Below are 20,303 nucleotides of genomic sequence, written 5' to 3'. Positions count from 1 at the left end.
TTTTCATGTGCTTCTTTGCCATCTGTGTATCTGTCCTCTTTGATGAAATATTTGTTCATATCTTTTGCCCACTTTTTTTTTTTTTTTTTTTCTGAGATGGAGTTTCGCCTTGTTGCCCAGGCTGGAGCGCAGTGGCGCGGTCTCGGCTCACCGCAGAGGCCTCCTGGGTTCAAGCAATTCTCCTGCCTCAGCCTCCCGAGTAGCTGGGATTACAGGCATGCGCCACCATGCCCAGCCAATTTTGTCTTTTTAGTAGAGATGGGGTTTCTCCATGTTGGCATGGCTGGTCTCAAACTCCTGACGTCAGGTGATCCGCCCGCCTTGGCCTCCCAAAGTGCTGGGATTAAAGGCGTGAGCCATCGCACCCGGCCTGCCTACGTTCTAAATGGCTTGTTTTGAGAGTTCTTTTATGTATGAGTCCTTTGGGAGATATGCAGTTACTAGTATTTTTTTCCAATTTCTTAGTTTTTTTATCCTCTTAACAGAGTCTTTTTGCAGAGCAAAAGTTTTATGTTTTGATGAAGTCCATTTTATCAGTTTTTTTTCTTTTATGGATCATGTTTTTGATGTCAACTCTAAGTCCCAAGATTTTGTCCTATTTTTTCCTAAAAGTTTTAAAGTGAATATTAGGTGATGTAAAAAATTTTGTGTTAGTTTTTTTAACTATAATGGTAGTGTGTGTTTTTAGAGATGCCTTTTAGAAATAACATTGAAATATTTACAGATGAAATAATGTGGTGTTTAAGATTTGCATCAAAATAATATAATACAGGAGGGGATGAAATAGAGTATAGAAGAAGCAAGATTTGCTGTGAGTTGATAATTAGTGAAGCTGGGTGATGTATATGTGGGGCTTCATTGAACTATTTTGTCTAACTTTGTGTAGGTATGAACTTTTCCATAAAAAGCTTAAGAAAATTATCTGTTAAACCATTCATTGGTGTTAACTTGAGATTAAGTGAGTTGTAGAGAAAGATGTCTCTTTCAGCCTCCGTGGTTAGCTTGGCCTGCAACTGTCCTCCAGCATTCATCTATGACTATTGTTCTGTTCACCTGTCTCCATAGTGGATGCTTGGAGATTTGTGCTTTTGTTTGTGAAACATATTTCAATGATTTTGTGTCACTGGATAAAACAGTGATTCTTCAGATTTGAGAAGAGGGAGTGAAGGGTGGCACATGTAGTTGGAAAAAGCATATTCAGTATGATAGTTTTATGTTTGAAAATAAGAAGGGTTTATTGATAGTTGTAGTATAATCTGCAAAGACAATATCTTGGCTGGGAATCTGTACCAAGGTAATAATTCTAAGTGGAAGGTCTACCTCCCCAAAAGCTTTTGTGTTATAATTATCAAAAGGCAGCAAGGGGCCAGGCGCAGTGGCTCACGCCTGTATTCCCAGCATTTTGGGAGGCCGAGGCGGGTGGATCACCTGAGGTCAGGAGTTTGAGACCAGCCTGACCAACGTGGTGAAACCTCGTCTCTAGTAAAAATACAAAAACTAGCCCAGCATGGCAGTGTTCGCCTATAATATCAGCTACTAGGGAGGCTGAGGCAGGAGAATCACTTGAACCTGGGAGTGGGAAGCTGCAGTGAGCCGAGATCATGCTGCTACACTCCAACCTAGGCAATAGAGTGAGACCCTGACTCCAAAATTTTTTAAAAAAAAATTTTCAGTATAAACAAAACTTTCACCAGCCCTGCTTTTCTTTCCTTAAGAAAAGCTTCCCAAAAGAACTGTCTACATGCCCCACAACAAATCACAATCACTGTTAACTGGTATCCGACTCTACTCCCGCTATCCACCAACACGCAGCAGCCAGAGTCAGCTTTTAGAACATCAACATTTAATCACTAGTCTCCATCTAAAAAAAAAAAAAAAACCCCAAAACAAAAAAACCCCCCAAAAAAAACAAAAGGCAGCAAGGATGAGAAGCATTATTATGGAAGTCAAGACCACCCCTGTAAGGGCCAAGGTTATGCTACCTTTTACAGAAAATGAGCCTTGAAGGCAAAACATAGCATCATAGTTGAACTTGAAAGTAAGAAAGAAAAACAGTATGAAAGATATCTCTCTTATACACACACTGCCATGTAATTGATATAGATATCAACTTGATAAATTAAAAAAATACAGCTGGGCACGGTGGTTCACACCTGTAATCCCAGCACTTTGGGAGGCTGAGGTGGGCGGATCACGAGGTCAAGAGATTGAGACCATCCTGGCCAACATGGTGAAACCCCGTCTCTACTAAAAATACAAAAATTAGCTGGGCATGGTGGCGCGCACCTGTAGTCCCAGCTACTTGGGAGGCTGAGGTGGAAGAATCGCTTGAATCCGGGAGCTGGAGGTTGCAGTGAGCCGAGATTATGCCACTGCACTCCAGCCTGGCGACAGAGCCAGACTCCATCTCACCGAAAAAAAAAAAAAAAAGTCAGTCAAAACAGTCAGTCCTCGTTTTTGTGGGTTCTGCATCTGCAGATTCAACCAACTATGGATCAAAATATTTGGAAAAAACAGTAAAAAATAACACAATTTAAAATACAGTATAACAACTATTCACATAGCATTTACATGGTACTATGTAGTATAAGTGATCCAGAGATGACTTAAGGTATATTGGAGGATGTGTGTAGATTATATGCAAATACTGTGCCATTTCGTATACAAGACTTGAACATACGTGGATTTCGGTATCCATGGGAGTCCTGAAACCAATCCCCTGTGGATATTGAGGGATGACTGTATATAAAATATGATTAAGTAATACACATACAAATATCTTAAGTATTTGTAAGTGTTTTGAACACCTACCTTAGTGGAAGATTATAGAGGTTTTGAAAAATAAAAAGCCTATCTTAACAATAGTTATTCTGGAATTCTTAAAAGCCAGGCTATTTTAGAATCCATAAAACATCTGTTTATTGTGAAAGTTGTGTAAAGGGTCAATCTGTAAATCAGTGTAAGTACCTAGTGGAATGTGAATGCTTTACCTTTTATCCACTGAACTTATGTTTTTTTAAAACCTGCTTAAAGGCTTGGACTTCCAAATACATTCTGATCACATTAGTAATTTTTTAGTTGACCACTGTAGGCATTTGCCAATAACTAGTATTAATGTAGTGGACCCAGAATCCCATTTTACTTGTGCTGCTCTTTTTATGCCCTCTCTTTTTAAAAGTGGGCATCATTCACCATCCTTGACAACCATTTTATCCAATCTAAAGCTGCTGCAGGAGAACCACCTGCTGAGCATCACCTGGAGGTTCTCCCTGTTCAAGTATAAGGCTTATGCTCTGACAGAGGGAACTTTATCCACTTATGACCCCCAAGTTAATTTAAGATGCAGGATTTGATTTATCAAGCTTACGTGTTAGTTCCTAGTTGTCTAGGATCTGTTTCTGGTTCCAGATACAGCCAAAGATGTGGTAGCAATTCTAATCAAATTGATGTGCTTTGCTAAGGATTTTGAAATTGAAACTTAGATCACTTTTCGAAGAAAGGGCCTAATCTCTGAAATTTCCCTCTGTCTACAGTTCCTATAAGATCCATATTTGTTGGCTATCAGGTCAGTGTTAAAGGTAATCTTTTAAGCTTCGAATTGCAGATTTATATAAATTATACATGGTTGTTCTAAATTTTTTTTTTGAGACAGAGTCTCGCTCTGTCGCCCAGGCTGGAGTGCAGTGGTGCAATCTTGGCTCACTGCAAGCTCCGCCTCCTGGGTTCACGCCATTCTCCTGCCTCAGCCTCCCGAGTAGCTGGGACTACAGGTGCCCGCCACCACGCCTGGCTAATTTTTTGTATTTTTAGTAGAGATGGGGTTTCACCGTGTTAGTCAGGATGGTCTCAACCTCCTGGCCTCGTGATCTGCCCGCCTTGGCCTCCCAAAGTTCTGGGATTACAGGCGTGAGCCACCACGCCCGGCCCTAATTTTGTAAATGGTTGTATAATCAGGATTTGCCATGGCAAAGATTGTGGTTCCTAAGCCCATTTCTGGACCAATTATTGCCCCAAGGTTTATTTTCTCGGAGTTGTTTACTTCTCAAAGAAAAACTTGTAAAAATTCTTGCACACTAAAGTGTTAAAGCTTTAATGTGTTAACACATTGTCAAGAGTACTACATTGGAATTTTGAAAGGCTGGGTAGTAGAATCATGACTATGCTTAACACAAAGTATAGTCATGCACCGCATAACAACATTTTGGTCAACCACAGACTGCATGTACAGTGGTGATACCAAAGATTATAATACCATATTTTTTCTGTACCTTTTTTATATGTACACATTTTTAGATGCACAGATACTTACCATTGTGTTACAGTTGCCTGCAGTATTCAATATAGTAACCTGCTGTACAGGCTTGTAGCCTAGGAGCAATAAGCTATCCCATATAGCCTAGGTGTACAGTAAGCTATATCATCTAGGTTTGTGTAAGTACATTCTATGCTGTTTGCACAAGGAAATCGCCTACCAATGCATTTCTTAGAACCTAACCCTATGGTTAAGCAACGCATGACTGCAGTCACTTATGTAACCAGCCTGGCTGCCGTGCTATGGAGATAAAGAGCAGATTGGGCAACCAGCTATCCTGCCTGCCAGTAAGCTGTAGTTGATTATACTACTGACCAGTGATGCGTATAACTTTTGAGGTTTTTTTTTTTTTTTTTTAATGCGTCTAACTTTTTTTTTTTTTTTTTGAGACAGGGTCTGGCGCTGTCTCCCAGGCTGGACTGGAGTGCAGTGGCATGACCTCGGCTCATTGCAACCTCCGCCTCCCAGGTTCAAGCGATTCTCCAGCCTTAGCCTCCCGAGTAGTTGGGATTACAGGTGCCTGCCACCACACCCAGCTAATTTTTGTATTTTTAGTAAAGATGGGGTTTTACCATGTTGGCCGGGCTGGTCTTGAACTCCTAACCTCAAGTGATCCACCCACCTTGGCCTCCCAAAGTGCTGGGATTACAGGCATGAGCCATCACACCCAGGCTTGATTAGTATAACTTTTAAGGGTTTTTTTTTTTTAATACATGTGAAACCAAACAGCACAGGGCCCAATACATTGCTCTGTCGCCTTGCTCTGTCACCAGGCTGGAGTGCAGTGGCGTGATCTCCACTCACTGCAACCTCTGCTTCCCAGGTTCAAGTGATTCTTCTGCCTCAGCCTCCCAAATAGCTGGGACTACAGGCACGCGCCACCACGCCCAGCTAATTTTTGTATTTTTAGTAGAGACGGGGTTTCACCATGTTGGCCAGGATGGTCTCGATCTCTTGACCTCGTGATCCGCCCCCCTCGGCCACTCAAAGTGCTGGGATTACAGGTGTGAGCCACTGCGACCGGCCGCCGAATACGTTTTCATGATTACAAATTAATGGTTTAATTGTCCATTGATGAAAATTATGCATGTGAAGTTTGGCGAGGTCTACTGTAAATATGAATTACTTTAAAGATGACTTTCTTTTGAAGCTCATTTGATATAGTCATCGTTGGTGGCGGAATTGTGGGGCTTGCCTCTGCCAGAGCACTCATCCTGCGACATCCATCACTTTCTATTGGTGTTCTGGAAAAGGAGAAAGATTTAGGTATGTATATAATCAATGTTGTTCTTTGGGCTTACTTGGGCATCTGCTCATTTTGTCTGTTGTGAATCTTTCATGCTGAATGTCAGTGTTAGTTTCTTAGTTTGTGTTCTAAAAGCAGAGTGTGGGACAAGGACATGGCTATAGGTTATTTGAGAGGTTAAAGCCGAGTGTGGGACAAGGAGGACGTGTCTATAGGTTATTTATTTGAGAGGTTATCTCAGGAAACAGGAGTGAGGGGGTGAGGAAAGTAAGACAGGGAAGGAGGAAAAGACATGAGAACACATCAAGATTGTGGCTGTGAGCTTGATTCCACCGGAGCCTCTGAGGAGCAATGTAGTATTTCCCAGGATTGTGCTCACTTTATCCATCGGCTCTTCTCTCTATTGGTTGAGGATTGCCGCTAGTGATGTTGAGCACCCCGTGCCCTTCTCTAAAAAAGTTACCAGAGGCCCCAAGGCAGAGTGCAAAGAGCCCTAGGGGGCCCCTGAAGTGGTTTGCTGGTAATGAGAGGTGAGTTTGTGCACCAAAGTTGTAGTTGAAATCAGAGATGGGCTGGAGGGATGTGACATGGATACCAGGGATGTTAGAAGAAGTTACCAGTGATCTGAACAAATTCAGGCAGAATTTTACATGATGTGGTCTCTAATAGCTTCAACTATAAGTTTGTTCTCTTACCTCTTATGTTTTGTATGAATCATGTACTTACTCTTACCCTGTTTCTCTTGTTCTGTAGCTGTTCACCAGACTGGACATAACAGTGGTGTCATACATAGTGGAATTTATTATAAACCTGAGTCTCTGAAAGCCAAATTATGTGTACAAGGTGCAGCCCTCCTCTATGAGTACTGTCAGCAAAAGGGAATTTCCTACAAGCAGTGTGGCAAGGTATGGCATTTTATTAGAGCCTTGACTAATTTCCAACTAGCATTTGCTTAGTGATGTTTAATATTACATTTTTTAAAAATGTATTTTTTTCTTTGTATCTATGTAATTTTTCAAATCTAATCTTAGGGAATAACTAAAAAAAGATGGTGTGACGTTATGTAATTTTCTAAATAAAAGTTTTATTGACATATAATTTATGCACCATACAATTCGCCCTTTTAAAGTGCACAGATCAATTTTTAGTATATTTATAGAGCTGAGCAATCATCACCACTATCTAATTTCAGGCTTTTTCATCACCCCAAAAAGACACCCCATACCCATTAGCAGTCACTTCCCATTTCTACCTCCCCCGATGCCCTAGCAACCACTAGTATACTTTCTGTCTTTGTGGATTTGCCTGTTCTGCACTTTTCATATAAATAGATTCATATACTATGTAGTCTTTTGTGACTGGCTTCTCTCACTTAGCATAATGTTGTCAAAGTTCATCCCTGTTGTAGCATGAATCAGTACTTCATGTCTTTTATGGCTGAACAATATTCCATTGTATGGATATACCACATTTTATTTGTTCATCAGTTGATAGACATATGGATTGTTTCCACCTTTTGGCTATTATGGATAATGCTGCTATGAACATTCATGTATAAGTTTATTTGTGAACATATGTTTTCATTTATATTGGTTATATACCTGGGAGGGGAATTGCTGGATTGTCAGGGTAACTCCATGTTTAACATTTTGAGGAACTGCCAAATTGTTTTCCAAAGCTCTGTGCTATTTTACATTCCCACCAGTAATTAATAAGGATTCCAATTTTCCATGTCCTTGCCAACATCTATTTTGGTTTGTCTTTTCTATTTTAGCCATCCTAGTGGAAGTTTTGATTTGCAGTTCCCTAGTGATAATGATGTTGAGTGTCTTTTATTTTTTCCTTTTTAGAAAATAGTTCTTGAGCCCAAGGGTTTGAGACCAGCTCGGGCAACATAGTGAGACCCTATCTCTACAAAAAATTTAAAAAGTTAGCCGGGTGCGGTGGTGCACAACTATAGTCCCAGCTACTTGGGAGGCTGAGGTGGGAGGACTGCTTGAGCCTGGGAGATCAAGGCTGCAGTGATCCATGATTATGCCACTGCACTTCAGCCTGGGCAACAGAGTGAGACCTTGCCTCAAAAAAGTTAAAATTATTATTTTTTAACTTTATTTCTTATTTAAAAGTTGAGACAGGATCTTGCTTTGTTGCCCAGGCTGGTCTCAAACTCCTGGCTTCAAGCACTCCTCCTGCCTTGGCCTCCTGAAGTGCTGGGATTACAGATGTGAGCCACTGTGCCTGGCCTAAAATTATTTTTTAATTGACAAAAATTGTAAATATTTATCATGTACAACATGTTGTTTTGAAGTATGTATACGTTATGGGCCGGGCAGGGTGGCTCACGCCTGCCTGTAATCTCAGCACTTTGGGAGGCTGAGGCAGGCAGATCACTTGAGGTCAGGAGTTCGAGACCAGCCTGGCCAACATGGTGAAACCCCATCTCTACTAAAAATATAAAAATTAGCCGGGTGTGGTGGCACACGCCTGTAATGCCAGCTACTCGGGAGGCTGAGGCACGAGAATTGCCTGACCCTGGGAGGCAGAGGTTGCAGTGAGGCGAGACCACACCACTGAATTCCAGCCTGGGCAACAGAGTGAGACTCTGTCTCAAGAAGTATGTGTACATTGTGGAATGGCTAAATCAAGCTCACCAACATATGCATTACCTTTCATACTTATTTTTTTTTTATGATGCAAACACTTAAATCTACTGTCTGAGCAGTCTTCAAGAATATAATACATTATTAACTATAATCAACATTTTGTGTAATAGATATCCTGAACTTATTCCTCTTACTTAACTGAAATTTTGTGTCCTTTAACAAATATCTTTCCACACCACCCCTGCCTCCCTGCCACCCTCAGCCCCTGGTAACCACCATTCCACTCTCTACCTCTGTGAGTTCAACTTTTTGAGATTCTACATGTAAATGAGATCACGCAGTATTTATCTTTCTGTGCTTGGTTTATTTCACCTAAGATAATGTCCTCCAGGTTCATCTCTGTTGTCATTTGTGGCATGGACCATTTGTGACAATAGAGATGAACATGGAGGATATTATCTTAAGTATTTCTCATTATCTTAAAGATTTTCTCCTTTTTTAAGGCTGACTGGTCTTTTGTTATGTATCCACCTGAACTGGCCTCCCACAGTGTTGGGATTACAGGTGTGAGCCACCACGCCTGGCCTGATTGTATGGTTTTTGTCATTCATCTTGTTGATATGATGTGTCACCTTGATTGATTTACATATGTTGAACCATCCTTTGCATCCCTGGGTTAAATCCCACTTGGTCATGATGAATGATCTTTTTAATGTGTTGTTGAATTTGGTTTGCTAGTATTTTGTTAAGGATTTTTGTATAGTGTTCATCAGGAATATTGGCCTATAGTTTTCATTTTTTTGATGTGTCTTTGTCTGGGTTTGGTATCAGGGTAATACCAGCCTCATGGAATGTGTTTGGAAATATTTCCTCCTCTACTTTATGGAATAGTTTGAGTAGGGTTTAGTATTAGTTCTTCTTTAAATGTTTGGTAAAATTTAGCAGTGAAGCCATCAGGTTCTGGGCTTTTCTTTACTGGGAGACTTTTTATTATGGCTTCGATCTTATTGCCTTTTATTGGTTTGTTCAGGTTTTGGATTTCTTCATGGTTCAATCTTGGTAGGTTGTATGTGTCCAGGAATTTATTCATTTATTCTAAGTTTTCTAACTTATTGGCATATATAGTTGGTCATAGTAGCCTTTAACAATTTTTTGAATTACTGTGGTATTGGTTGTAATGTCTCTTTTTTCATCTCTGATTTTATTTATCCGGGTCTTCTCTTTTTCTTAGTCTGGCTAAAGGTTTGTCAATTCTATTTATCCTTTCAAAAAACCAACCTTTCATTAATCTTTTGTATTGTTTTCTTTGTTTCAATTTCATTTATTTCTGCTCTGATCTTTATTATTTATTTTCTTCTACTAATTCTGAATTTGGTGTGCTCTTGCTTTTCTAGTTTTTTAAGATGCATTGTTAGATTATATGAAGTTCTTCTACTTTTTTGATGTAGGTGCTTATAGCTATAAACTTTCCTCTTAGTACGGCTTTCGCTGTTTCCCATAGGTTTTGGTATGTTGTCTTTCTATTTTCATTTGTTTCAACAGATTTTTAAATTTCCTTCTTAATTTCTTTATTGGCCCACTGGTCATTTAGGAGCGTATTGGTTTTGTTTGCTTGTTTGTTTATTTTTTTGAGATAGAGTCTCTGTCTCACCCAGGCTGGAATATAGTGGCACTATCTCACAGATCACTGCAGCCTTGACCTCCCGGCCGGGCATGGTGGCTCGCACCCCTAATCCCAGCACTTTGGGAGGCTGAGGCGGGGGATCACCTGAGGTCAGGAGTTCGAGACCAGACTGACCAACGTGGAGAAACCCCATCTCTACTAAAAATACAAAATTAGCTGGGTGTGGTGGCTCATGCCTGTAATCCCAGCTACTTGGGAGGCTGAGGCAGGTTAGTTGCTAGAACCTGGGAGGCAGAGGTTGTAGTGAGCTGAGATCGCGCCATTGCACTCCAGCCTGGGCAACAAGAGCGAAACTCTGTCTCAAAAAAAAAAAGTCCTCCCACCTCAACCTCTGGAGTAATGGGGATCACAGGTGCACCACCATGCCTGGCTAATTTTTCTTTTTTTTTTTTTGAGACAGAGTCTTGCTGTTACCCAGCCTGGAGTGCAATGGTGCCATCTCAGCTCACTGCAACCTCCACCTCCTGGGTTCAAGCAATTCTCCAGCCTCAGCCTCCCAAGTCGCTGGGACTACAGGCTCACGCCACCATGCCTGGCTAATTTTTGTATTTTTAGTAGAGATGTGGTTTCACTATGTTAACTAGGCTGGTCTTAAACTCCTGACTTCAAGTGATCTACCCACCCAAATTGCTGGGATTACAGGCATGAGCCACCATGCCCAGTCATTTTGTTGTTGTTGTTCGTTTTGGTTTTTTTTTTTGAGTTAGGATCTCCCTCCGTTGCTCAAGTTGGTCTCAAACTCCTGGGCTCAAGTGCTCAAGTGATCCTCTCACCTTGGCCACCCAAAGTGTTGAAATTACAGGTGTGAACCACTATGCCTGGCCAGAGGCATATTGTTTAATTTCTGTGTGTTTGTATAGTTTCCAAAATTCCTCTTGTTATTGATTTCTAGTTTCATTCCATTGTGGTCAGAGAATATACTTGATATAATTTCATTTAAAAAAAATTTTAAAGACCTGTTTTGTGGCCCAACATATTGGTCTATCCTTGAGAATGATCCATGTGCTGGGGAGAAGAATATATATTCTGTAGCTGTTGGATGAAACTCTCTGTAAATATCTGTTAGGTCCATTTGGTCTGTAGTGCTCAGTAGTTTATTCTTTGTGATGCTTTTGTGAGGAGAATTGTTTTCCTACTTTCATTTTTTATAATTCATTGCTAATGCATAGAATATGATTGATTTCTGTATGTTGATTTTTTTTAATCCAGTGACCTTTCTGAACTCATTTTGTTCTAATTGTGTGTGTATGTGTGTGTGTGTGTCTATGAATTCCTTAGGCTTTACTATATGCAGGATCATGTCATCTGCAAATAAGTTAGTTTTACTTCTTTTCCAATTTAGATGTCTTTTAACTACTTATTCTGCTTGCCTGATTTCCATGGGTGGAAGCTCCAATACTGTGTTGAACAGAAGTAGTAAAAGTGGACCTTCTTGAATTGTTCTTGATCTAATAGAGAAAGCATTCAATCTTTTACCCTTAAGTATGATGTTAGCTGTGGATTCCCTTTATCAGATTAAGGAAGTTCCTTTCTATTCCTAGTTTGTTGAATGTTTTCTATCATGAAAAGGTGTTGAATTTTCTCAAATGCCTTTTCTGCTTCTATCAAGGTGATCATGTGGTTTTTATCCTTTATTCTATTAATGTAGTGTATTAATACATTTTTGGATGTTAAATTGATTTTACATTCCTGTGATAAATCCCTCTTGGTCATGGTGTAAAATCCTCTCTATATGTTGCTGCATTCAGTTTATTAGTATTTTGTTCAGGGTTTTGCATTAATATTTTTAAGGGATATTGGTTTGCAATTTCTTACGATATCTGGTTTTGGTAAAAGGCAAAATATTTTTTCTTTCTGAAGAGAAACCAGAGCACTGGTTTTAGTATCAAACTAATATTGGCCTCACAGAATTAGTTGGGAAGTGATTCTTACTCTTCTGTTTTTTGGAACAGTTTATGAAGAATTAGTATTACTTTTTTTTTTAACATCTGGTAGCATTCATGAATAAAGCCTCTGGGCCTGGGCTTTTTTTTTTTTTTTTAATGTGGGAAGTTTTCAATCACTTCATGTGTTATAGGTTTATTAAGTTTTTCTTCTCAAATCCGTTTCAGAAGTTTGTGTCTTTCTAATAATTTGTTCATCTAGATTTTCTAATTCGTTGCCATACAGTTGTTCATAGTATTCTTTTATAAGTCCTTTTATTTCTGCAGTGTTGGTAGTCATGTCCTTCATATAAGTTTTTTTTTTTTTTTTTTTTTTTTTGAGACAGGGTCTCACTTTGTCACCCAGGATGGAGTGCAGTGGTGCAATCTCGGCTCTCTGTAGCCTTGACCTCCTGAGCTCAAGTGATCCTCCCACCTCAGCCCACTAGTAGCTGGGACTACAGGTGCACACCACCACACTCAGCTAATTTTTTTGTATTTTTTTGTAGGGACAGGTTTTGCTATGTTGCCCAGGCTGTTCTCGAACTCCTGAGCTCAAGCAATCCACCAGCCTCAGCTTCCCAGAGTGCTAGGATTACAGGCATGAGCCACCGTGCCTGGCCCTTATAATTTTTAAGAATAAAAGCTCATTGTCACCATTAAAGTTGCTATGAGGCTGGGTGTGGTGGCTCACGCCTGTAATCCCAGCACTTTGGGAGGCCGAAGTGGATGGACCACCTGAGGTCAGGAGTTCGAGACCAGCCTGTCCAACATGGTGAAACCCCATTTCTACTGAAAACACAAAAATTAGCTGGGCATGGTGGCAGGCGTCTGTAATCTCAGCTACTTGGGAGGCTGAGGCAGGAGAATCGTTTGAACCTGGGACGCAGAGGTTGCAGTGAGACGAGATCCTGCCATTGCACTCCAGCCTGGGTGACAAGAGCGAAATTAAAAAAAAAAAAAAAAAGATGCTATGAAAAAAAAATTGTAGGGCTGGACTCAGTGGCTTATGCCTGTAATCCTAGCACTTTGGGAGGCCGAGGTGGGTAGATTGCTTGAGCCCAGGAGTTTGAGACCAGTCTGGGCAATGTGGTAAAACGCTGTCTCTACTAAAAAAAAAAAAAAAAAAAAAAAAAAAAATTAGCCGAGTGTGGTGCACATGCCTGTAGTCCCAGCTTCTAGGGAGGCCGAGGTGGGAGAATCACCTGAGCTCGGGAAGTCGAGGCTGCAGGGAGTCATGACTGGGCCACTGCACTATAGCCTGGGCAATGGGAGTGAGACCTTGTCTCAAATAAATAAATAAATAGAAATTTTAAAAATAGATACAAATTTTTTTAAGAGACAGGGTCTTGTCCTGTTGCCTAGGCTGGAGTGCAGTGGCACAATCACAGCTCACTGCAGCCTTGAACTCCTGGGCTCAAGTGGTCTTCTTGCCTCAGCCTTTGAAGTAGCTTGGATTATAGACATGAGCCCCTGTGCATGGCCACATTTTAAAAAACAATTCAGTAAAATGGGCCTGACATAAGTGAAAAAGGCAAGATATAAAAGTCTAGTTACAGTTTTTATTATGAGTTGTAAGAATTCTTTACATATTCTAAATACTAGACCTTTATCAGCTACGTGACTTGCAAATATTTTTTCTCATTGTGTGGGTTGTCTTTTCACTTACTTGATAGAGTCCTTTGATTCCACTTCTGTTTTTAAGGTTAATTATTTATTGATTTAAATAGCCTTTATACCTTGATTAAAAGTGTCACCTCATGAAATTCTGTTGCCTCTTTGGTATGAAATAATGACTTGTGAATTCTAATATACCTTCGAATATGCACCTGTGTTTTCCTTTGCCCCTTTCTTTAAGTAAAGAAGAAACTGTACCTCAGATATTTTTCCCATAAATAAATAGAAAAGAAATAAATAAGTTGATGAATTGACTGTTTTCCCCCTGCAACAGAATGTTTTGTAAATACTTTATAATATATTCCAAAAATAAAAGGGATTGTTTTGTCAGTTATGTTCCATCACATTCAGTACCAGTTGTCTTTCTGATGTGCTGATATTTTACATTTTCCTGAAGAAATAAGAAGGCCATTCTGTTTTGGGGGGGAAAAAAAGTAAAGTCCAAGCAACTTATGCTTCTCTCCTTTCTGGGTTTGAGAATGTGGTAGTGATGAGTTGCTTATGGCCAAGATGCACATAGAGACTATGATAACAGAAGTGGAAATTGAAGCTACATTTCATTTTTAGGGAAAATTTGTTTTAATAACATTTTCTTAAGACAACTTTTCTTGGTGGAGGAAGAAAATAGTCATGAAGAAAGGAAGAATTAGATATGTGAAGAAAAAATAATTTTAAAAAATTAACCTCCTTTGGGTCATACAATAGTTGATGATTTTCCATTGACTTTATCTTTCATCGCTGATGATACATTCACCTCTATCCATGCTCCTTACCTTTTTTTTTTTGAAGCTTATAGTAGCTGTTGAACAAGAAGAAATTCCCAGACTTCAGGCCCTATATGAGAAAGGCCTCCAGAATGGTGTCCCGGGCCTGAGGCTGATCCAGCAGGAGGATATAAAAAAGAAGGAGCCATATTGTAGGGTAAGTGATTAACAAAGGGATGTTTTTATTTAGGGCTTAGTCCTGAGACATGGAGGCTGAGGGTGAGTGTATAGGAGGCAGGAATAATATAAAATCAGTTAGATAATCCTGTCACAGAAGTAGTGAAGTGACAGACACAAGAGGGCATTGTCACAAACTCTGGACACCTGATTTCTTTCTCTGTGAGAAAATACCAGGTCTGACCAACATGAAGACAAGAGGAGGCCTGAGACCACATGGCATGTTTGGAAAACACTGAGCAGTGAGGTGTGGTTGGGAGCATTGGGTATGTAGGGAAATATAAGAGATGAGACTGAAAAGGCAGGGTTAGGCCCACATAAAGGGTTTGGCATTCATGTTAATAACATTGAAGTTTATCCAGTAGGCACGGGGAGCCATTGAACATTTTTGGAGGAGGGCAGCTGTAGTGTCTGATCTATACGATAGGCGGATAAGGCTGGCATGAGTTTGATCCTCCTGCCTCGACCTCCCAAAGTGCTGGGATTGCAGCATTTCACTTTCTTAATATTGTCTTCAGATTAACAGAAATTCTTAATGTTATCAATTTATGCATATGTTTGTTTTTTTATGGTTAGTGTTTTTTGTGCTCTAGTTAAATTTTCTGGATGCATTCAAAGACTTGGTAAGAAAAATAAAATAAAATAGAAAAAAAAAGAAATCTTTGCCTAGCCCAGGGTCTAGAAGATATTCTATGTGTTTTTCTAAAAGTTTTATTGTTTTACATTTCACATTTAGATCTACAGTCCATTTGGAATTGATTTTTATATATGGTATAAGTTAGGGGTCAAGGTGTATTTTTTCCCCAAACAGATATCCAGTTGTGTCAGCATCACTTATCAAAAAACCATTATTTTCCCACTGTGCTGCAGTATTGCCTTTATGATATCAGGTATGTGGCGGGTCTATGTCTGGACTCCATTCTGTTCCATTGCCTCTTCTGTGCTACTACCATAATGTTTAATTATAATAGCCATTTTTTTTTAAATGGGTTCTTACTCTGTCACCCAGGCTAGAGTGCAGTGACGTGATCACAGCTCCCCATGACCAGCTAATTTTAAAATGTTTGAAGAGACAGAGTCTCACCATATTGCCTAGGCTGGTCTCGAACTCCTGGGCTCAAGTGATCCACCTGTTTTGGCCTCCCAAAGTGCAAGGAATACAAGCATGAGCTATAGTAGCTTGGACTATAGTAGTTTTGTTTTTTTTTTTGAGATGCAGTCTCTCTTTGTCACCCAGGCTGAAGTGCAGTGCCACCATCTCGGCTTACTGCAACCTCCATCTCCTGGGTTCAAGCAATTCTCCTGCCTCGGCCTCTCTAGTAGCTGGGATTACAGGCACCCGCCACCACACCTGGCTAACTTTTGTATTTTTATTTATTTATTTATTTTGAGATGGAGTTTCACTCTTGTTGCCAGGATGGAGTGCAATGGCGCAATCTCAGCTCACCGCAACCTCTGCCTCCCGGGTTCAAGTGATTCTCCTGCCTCAGCCTCCCGAGTAGCTGGGATTACAGACATGCGCCACCATGCTCGGCTAATTTTGTATTTTTCGTATAGACAGGGTTTCTCCACGTTGGTCAGGCTGGTCTTGAACTCCCGACCTCAGGTGATCCTCCAGCCTCGGCCTCCCAAAGTTCTGGGATTACAGGCGTGAGCGCCTGGCCCTATAGTAGCTTTTTAATAGGCCTGAATATCTGGTAGAGTAAGGCCTTCCGTTTTTTTCTTCAACATTATCTTGGCTACTCTTGGATCTTTACATTTCTACATAAATTTTGGAGTTAATTTGCTAAACTCCACAAGATAACCTGTTATGATTTTGACTGAGATTGCAATGAATCTGTATGTCTGTGTGGAGACAATTTACATCTTTGTAGTGTGGAGTCTTCCAATCCTTGAACTTCATATATCCCTCCCTTTGTCTGGATCTGTTTTAATTTATTACATAATGTATTTTAATTTTCAGTATGGAAGTCTTGCATGGCATGTCTCTTATATTTATTATCTACAAAGAATTTGTATTTGATGTTTTCTGATACTCTCATTAATAGTATTGTTATTTAAAATTCACTTTTTATTTGTTTGTTGCAGGTATGTGGAAATATAATTGATTTCTGACCTTGTATCCAACTTTCTAGTTAAATTCGTGTATTGGTTCTAAATAATTTGTCTAGAAATTCTTTTGGACTTTTTATACCCAGACATTTTATCTGCAAATAATAACTATTTATTTCTTCTTTTCTAATTCATATACTTGGTTGATCCAATGTTTAATCCTAGTTTGTATAGTTTTATATGTGTTTTTTGTTTATTTTTACAAGCTGCTTCATCCTTTCTGCAAAAAGACAAGATAGAAATGTATTTTTTCAAGTCCAGGAAAAATAAAAGCTTGAAGGAAAAAAAATGTATTTTTTCCCTTTATCTCTAGTTGTAAAGTTAAAGTTGGGTCAAAATATGCAAGATTTTCTGAATTCATGTAAAGCTCCTAAGACGCTGCTGGTATCCAGGAGTCTAAATAGTGTTGAATGAGTTCTTCCTGCAGAGGTTATAGCATCTTCGTCTCCAGCAAGCCACCTATTCCTTTCCTGGCACCCAGTCAGGATAATCAAACTATTTTGCTTGTGGGATACACTAGGTCTTGTTACTTCCCATTTCTCTCCTCAAATATTTCTTATCTCTCTGAGATAGTGAATTAGTGACTGATTTTTTTAAGTAGAATATTTTCATTGACCATCTTATTTTGGCCACCTGCTTATTTCATACTCTGAGCAAATTCTAAATGGTCAAAGTCTTGGCAAATTCTGTCCTGTGGGCCAAATTCATCCTGCCACCTGTTTTTGTATGGCCTGAAAACTAAAAATGTTTTTTGTTTGTTTTTTTTTTTTTTTTTTTTTTTTTTTGAGACGGAGTCTCAGTCTGTCCCCCAAGCTGGAGTGCAGTGGCACAATTTCGGCTCACTGCAACCTCCGTCTCCCTGGGTTCAGCGATTCTCCTGCCTCAGGCTCCCAAGTGGCTGGGATTACAGGCACATGTCACCATGCCTGGCTAATTTTTGTATTTTTAGTAGAAACAGGGTTTCACCATATTGGCCAGGCTGGTCTCAAACTCCTGACCTTGTGATCCGCCCACCTCGGCCTCCCAAAGTGCTGGGATTATAGGCGTGAGCCACCGTGCCCGGCCATGCTAAAAATGTTTTTTACATTTTAAGTGTGTTAAAAAAATTAAAAGAAGAACATTATTTTGTGATGAATTAAAATTATATGAAATTCAGCCAGGCGTGGTGGCGTGTGCCTGTAGTCCCAGCCACTTGGGAGGCTGAGGCAGGAGAATTGCTTGAACCCGGGAGGCGGAGGTTGCAGTGAGTGGAGATTGTGCCACTGCACTCAAGCCTGGGCAACAGAGAGAGACTCCATCTCAAAAAAAAATATATGAAATTCAAATTTCAGTGTCCGTAAAGTTTTATTGAAATACAACCGCAAATATTCAGTTATGTATTGTCTGTAGCTGTTTTAACGCCAAACAGCCTCATTGAGTAGTTGCAACAGAGATCATAAGCCTAGATAGTCAAAAATATTTGCCATCTGTCTCTTATAAAAAAGGTTGCCTACCCTTGATCTAAATAGCAGATAGCTACCGAAGGACTTGAGCAGAATGCTGACAGGCAAAAGGTACTAATTTAGGAAATTTAATCAAATTTGAATATGTAAGATGGAACTGGACGTGGGGAGAGGAGAACCAAAGCCACTTATTGTTATTTTTGAATTATCTGATTCCAATAATTCTCAGTCTTAAGGGAGTTTTTTTTGTTTGTTTGTTTTTGTTTTTTTTTATGAGACGGAGTCTCACTCTGTCACCCAGGCTGGAGTGCAGTGGCGTGATCTCGACTCACTGCAAGCTCCAACTCTTGGGTTCACGCCATTCTCCTGCCTCAGCCTCCAGAGTAACTGGGACTACAGGCGCCCACCACCACACCTGGCTAATTTTTTTTGTATTTTTAGTAGAGACAGGGTTTCACCTTGTTAGCCAGGATGGTCTTGATCTCCTGACCTCGTGATCCGCCCGCCTCAGCCTCCCAAAGTGCTAGGATTACAGGCGTGAGCCACTGCGCCTGGCCGACTTAAGGGAGTTTTGACATATTATCCTTTACTTTATCTTGCTGTATCCTTCAACTTTTTGAAATTAACTTGCATCTAGCATAAGGTGAGCAGTATAATGTAGCTGTTGATAAGTCAGACAGACATAAGCTCCATTCTCACATCTGCCTCTTTAATGGCTATTAACATTGAGTGGGTTATAATCTTTCTAATCCTCAGACTCATTTGTAAAATGGAGATTGTTTTGAGAATTAAATGAAATACTATGTATAAGGCATTCGGCTAAACGTTAATCCCTTAAGAAATGGTATATATTATTATATGCTTTTTTGAACAATCCTAGTAAATTCAAATTGGTTTTGTTTGAAATATTTGGGGACTTTTCATTTCTGCTTTCTTTAGCTTTTTTCTGCCTATAAAGCCAGCCTCCTCTGGTCAGCTCATTAGAGTGCTCTTTCTAAATCTATGAATGAGGTGCTCCCTGAATCATGAATTTCTAATAAAGCTAATTAGATCTTTAAACTAAATTTGTTATAATTTTGTCTTTTAACACACTCAATGGTTTTGTAACGCACTGTGTAGATAAGAAACAGGATAATAGATTACCCTGTTAAGATAATTAAGAATATTTAGTTATGTGTATTCTTCCCCCTGTTTGTATTTCCCCTTTTCCTGATGTGTTACATTTAATTTATTATTTTATTCTGTTTATTTTCTTTAAGGCATATCAGTCTTTTTTAGAGTGAGATAGCCTATTTTAAAACAATAGAGATCCTAGCATATTATAAAACTAGGGTTGTGAATAACTGATATAAGGGCTGGTTGTTTAGACTGATGTTATGCTTCAAGGAAAAAAAATGCTAGTATTAAAATTAAGAAATTAGGAGGCTGTTATATATGTGGGAGCAGAGAATATATGGGAAATCTCTGAACTTTTTGCTCAATTTTTCTATGAATTTAAAACTGCTCTTAAAAAGGAGTCTACTTAAAAAATTTAGATTAAACCCACTTTCTGTTTCTTATCTATACAGTGCATTACAAAACTATTGAGTGTGTTAAAAGACAAAATTACAACAGATTTAAAGACCAAATTAGCTCTTTTAGTGATTCATGAATTAAGGAGCATCTCATTCAAAGATTTAGAAAAGGCACTCTGATGAGCTGACCAGAGGAGGTTGGCTTTATAGACAGAAAAGGGTTGAAGAAAGCAGAAACAGAGAACAAAAAGCAGATTGGTTGTTTCAAAGTTACTTTCCTATAAGGTTAAAACAGAGGCCAGGCACAGTGGCTCACGCCTGTAATCCCAGCACTTTGGGAGGCCGAGGTAGGCGGATCATCTGAGGTCAGGAGTTCGAGATCGGCCTGACCAATATGGTGAAACCCCATCTCTACTAAAAATACAAGAATTAGCCGGGCATGGTGGCGCATGCCTGTAATCCCAGCTACTCAGGAAGCTGAGGCAGGAGAATCGCTTGAACCAGGGAGGCAGAGGTTTTGGTGAGCTGAGATCGCGCCATTGGACTCCAAAAAAACCAGAGAAGACTTCCTTATCAAGCTGGCTAAAACCAGCCTGTTTGTGAACTTGGCTGTTAGTTATCTCTTGTGATTTCTTAGAAGGTCATATAAACAATTTGGTTTCCATCTGGTGAGGAGGATTTTAGCATGAGAGACTCCATTTTGGTTTGGTCTGTAGAGGTCTAATACAGAAGCTCAATGCAAAACAACAGCTTCCTATACACGTTATTAAACATGTCCTTCCCGAAAATAGACTAAATCTATTGCTGTTTCATAGCTTTATATGATTTTGATGGAATTCAATTGTGAAAC

The 20,303-nt window shown here is 39.7% G+C and overlaps 1 protein-coding gene and 1 non-coding gene across 13 annotated transcripts in view, besides 1 other annotated feature; both read left to right on the top strand.

Moving 5' to 3' along the window:
- L2HGDH (L-2-hydroxyglutarate dehydrogenase) overlaps window positions 1-20,303 on the top strand; it is a 69,796-nt gene that overhangs the window by 3,750 nt on the left and 45,743 nt on the right. For 10 of the 12 annotated variants that reach the window (XR_007064047.1, XR_007064046.1, NM_001425212.1 and 7 more), the window contains 3 exons: window positions 5,463-5,578; window positions 6,312-6,463; window positions 14,234-14,365. Coding sequence is in view for 6 of the 12 variants with exons in the window: in NM_001425212.1 (NP_001412141.1) it covers window positions 5,463-5,578; window positions 6,312-6,463; window positions 14,234-14,365 (400 nt within the window). In the remaining 6 variants the exon portion in view is untranslated. Of the gene's footprint in view, window positions 1-5,462; window positions 5,579-6,311; window positions 6,464-14,233; window positions 14,366-15,196; window positions 15,276-20,303 lie in introns of all 12 variants that reach the window. The other 2 variants (NM_001425218.1, NM_001425215.1) reach the window with 1 other exon arrangement.
- Window positions 8,299-8,992: an enhancer, noted in NCBI's record as "OCT4-NANOG hESC enhancer chr14:50766206-50766899 (GRCh37/hg19 assembly coordinates)". NCBI's record gives its function as "activates a minimal SCP1, AML or CMV promoter by ChIP-STARR-seq in naive H9 embryonic stem cells {active_cell/tissue: H9 hESC(naive)}" and the evidence as "EXISTENCE:reporter gene assay evidence [ECO:0000049][PMID:30033119]".
- On the top strand, window positions 8,534-8,625 carry MIR4504 (microRNA 4504). The gene has a single exon (NR_039726.1). It is a non-coding gene; the product is annotated as a microRNA 4504 (primary transcript).

The sequence above is a fragment of the Homo sapiens genome, chromosome 14 (genome assembly GCF_000001405.40).
Source record: "Homo sapiens chromosome 14, GRCh38.p14 Primary Assembly".
NCBI classification, from domain to species: domain Eukaryota; kingdom Metazoa; phylum Chordata; class Mammalia; order Primates; family Hominidae; genus Homo; species Homo sapiens.
The sequence above is the reverse complement of the archived record's forward strand: the minus strand, read 5'-3'. Positions and strand labels throughout refer to the sequence as shown.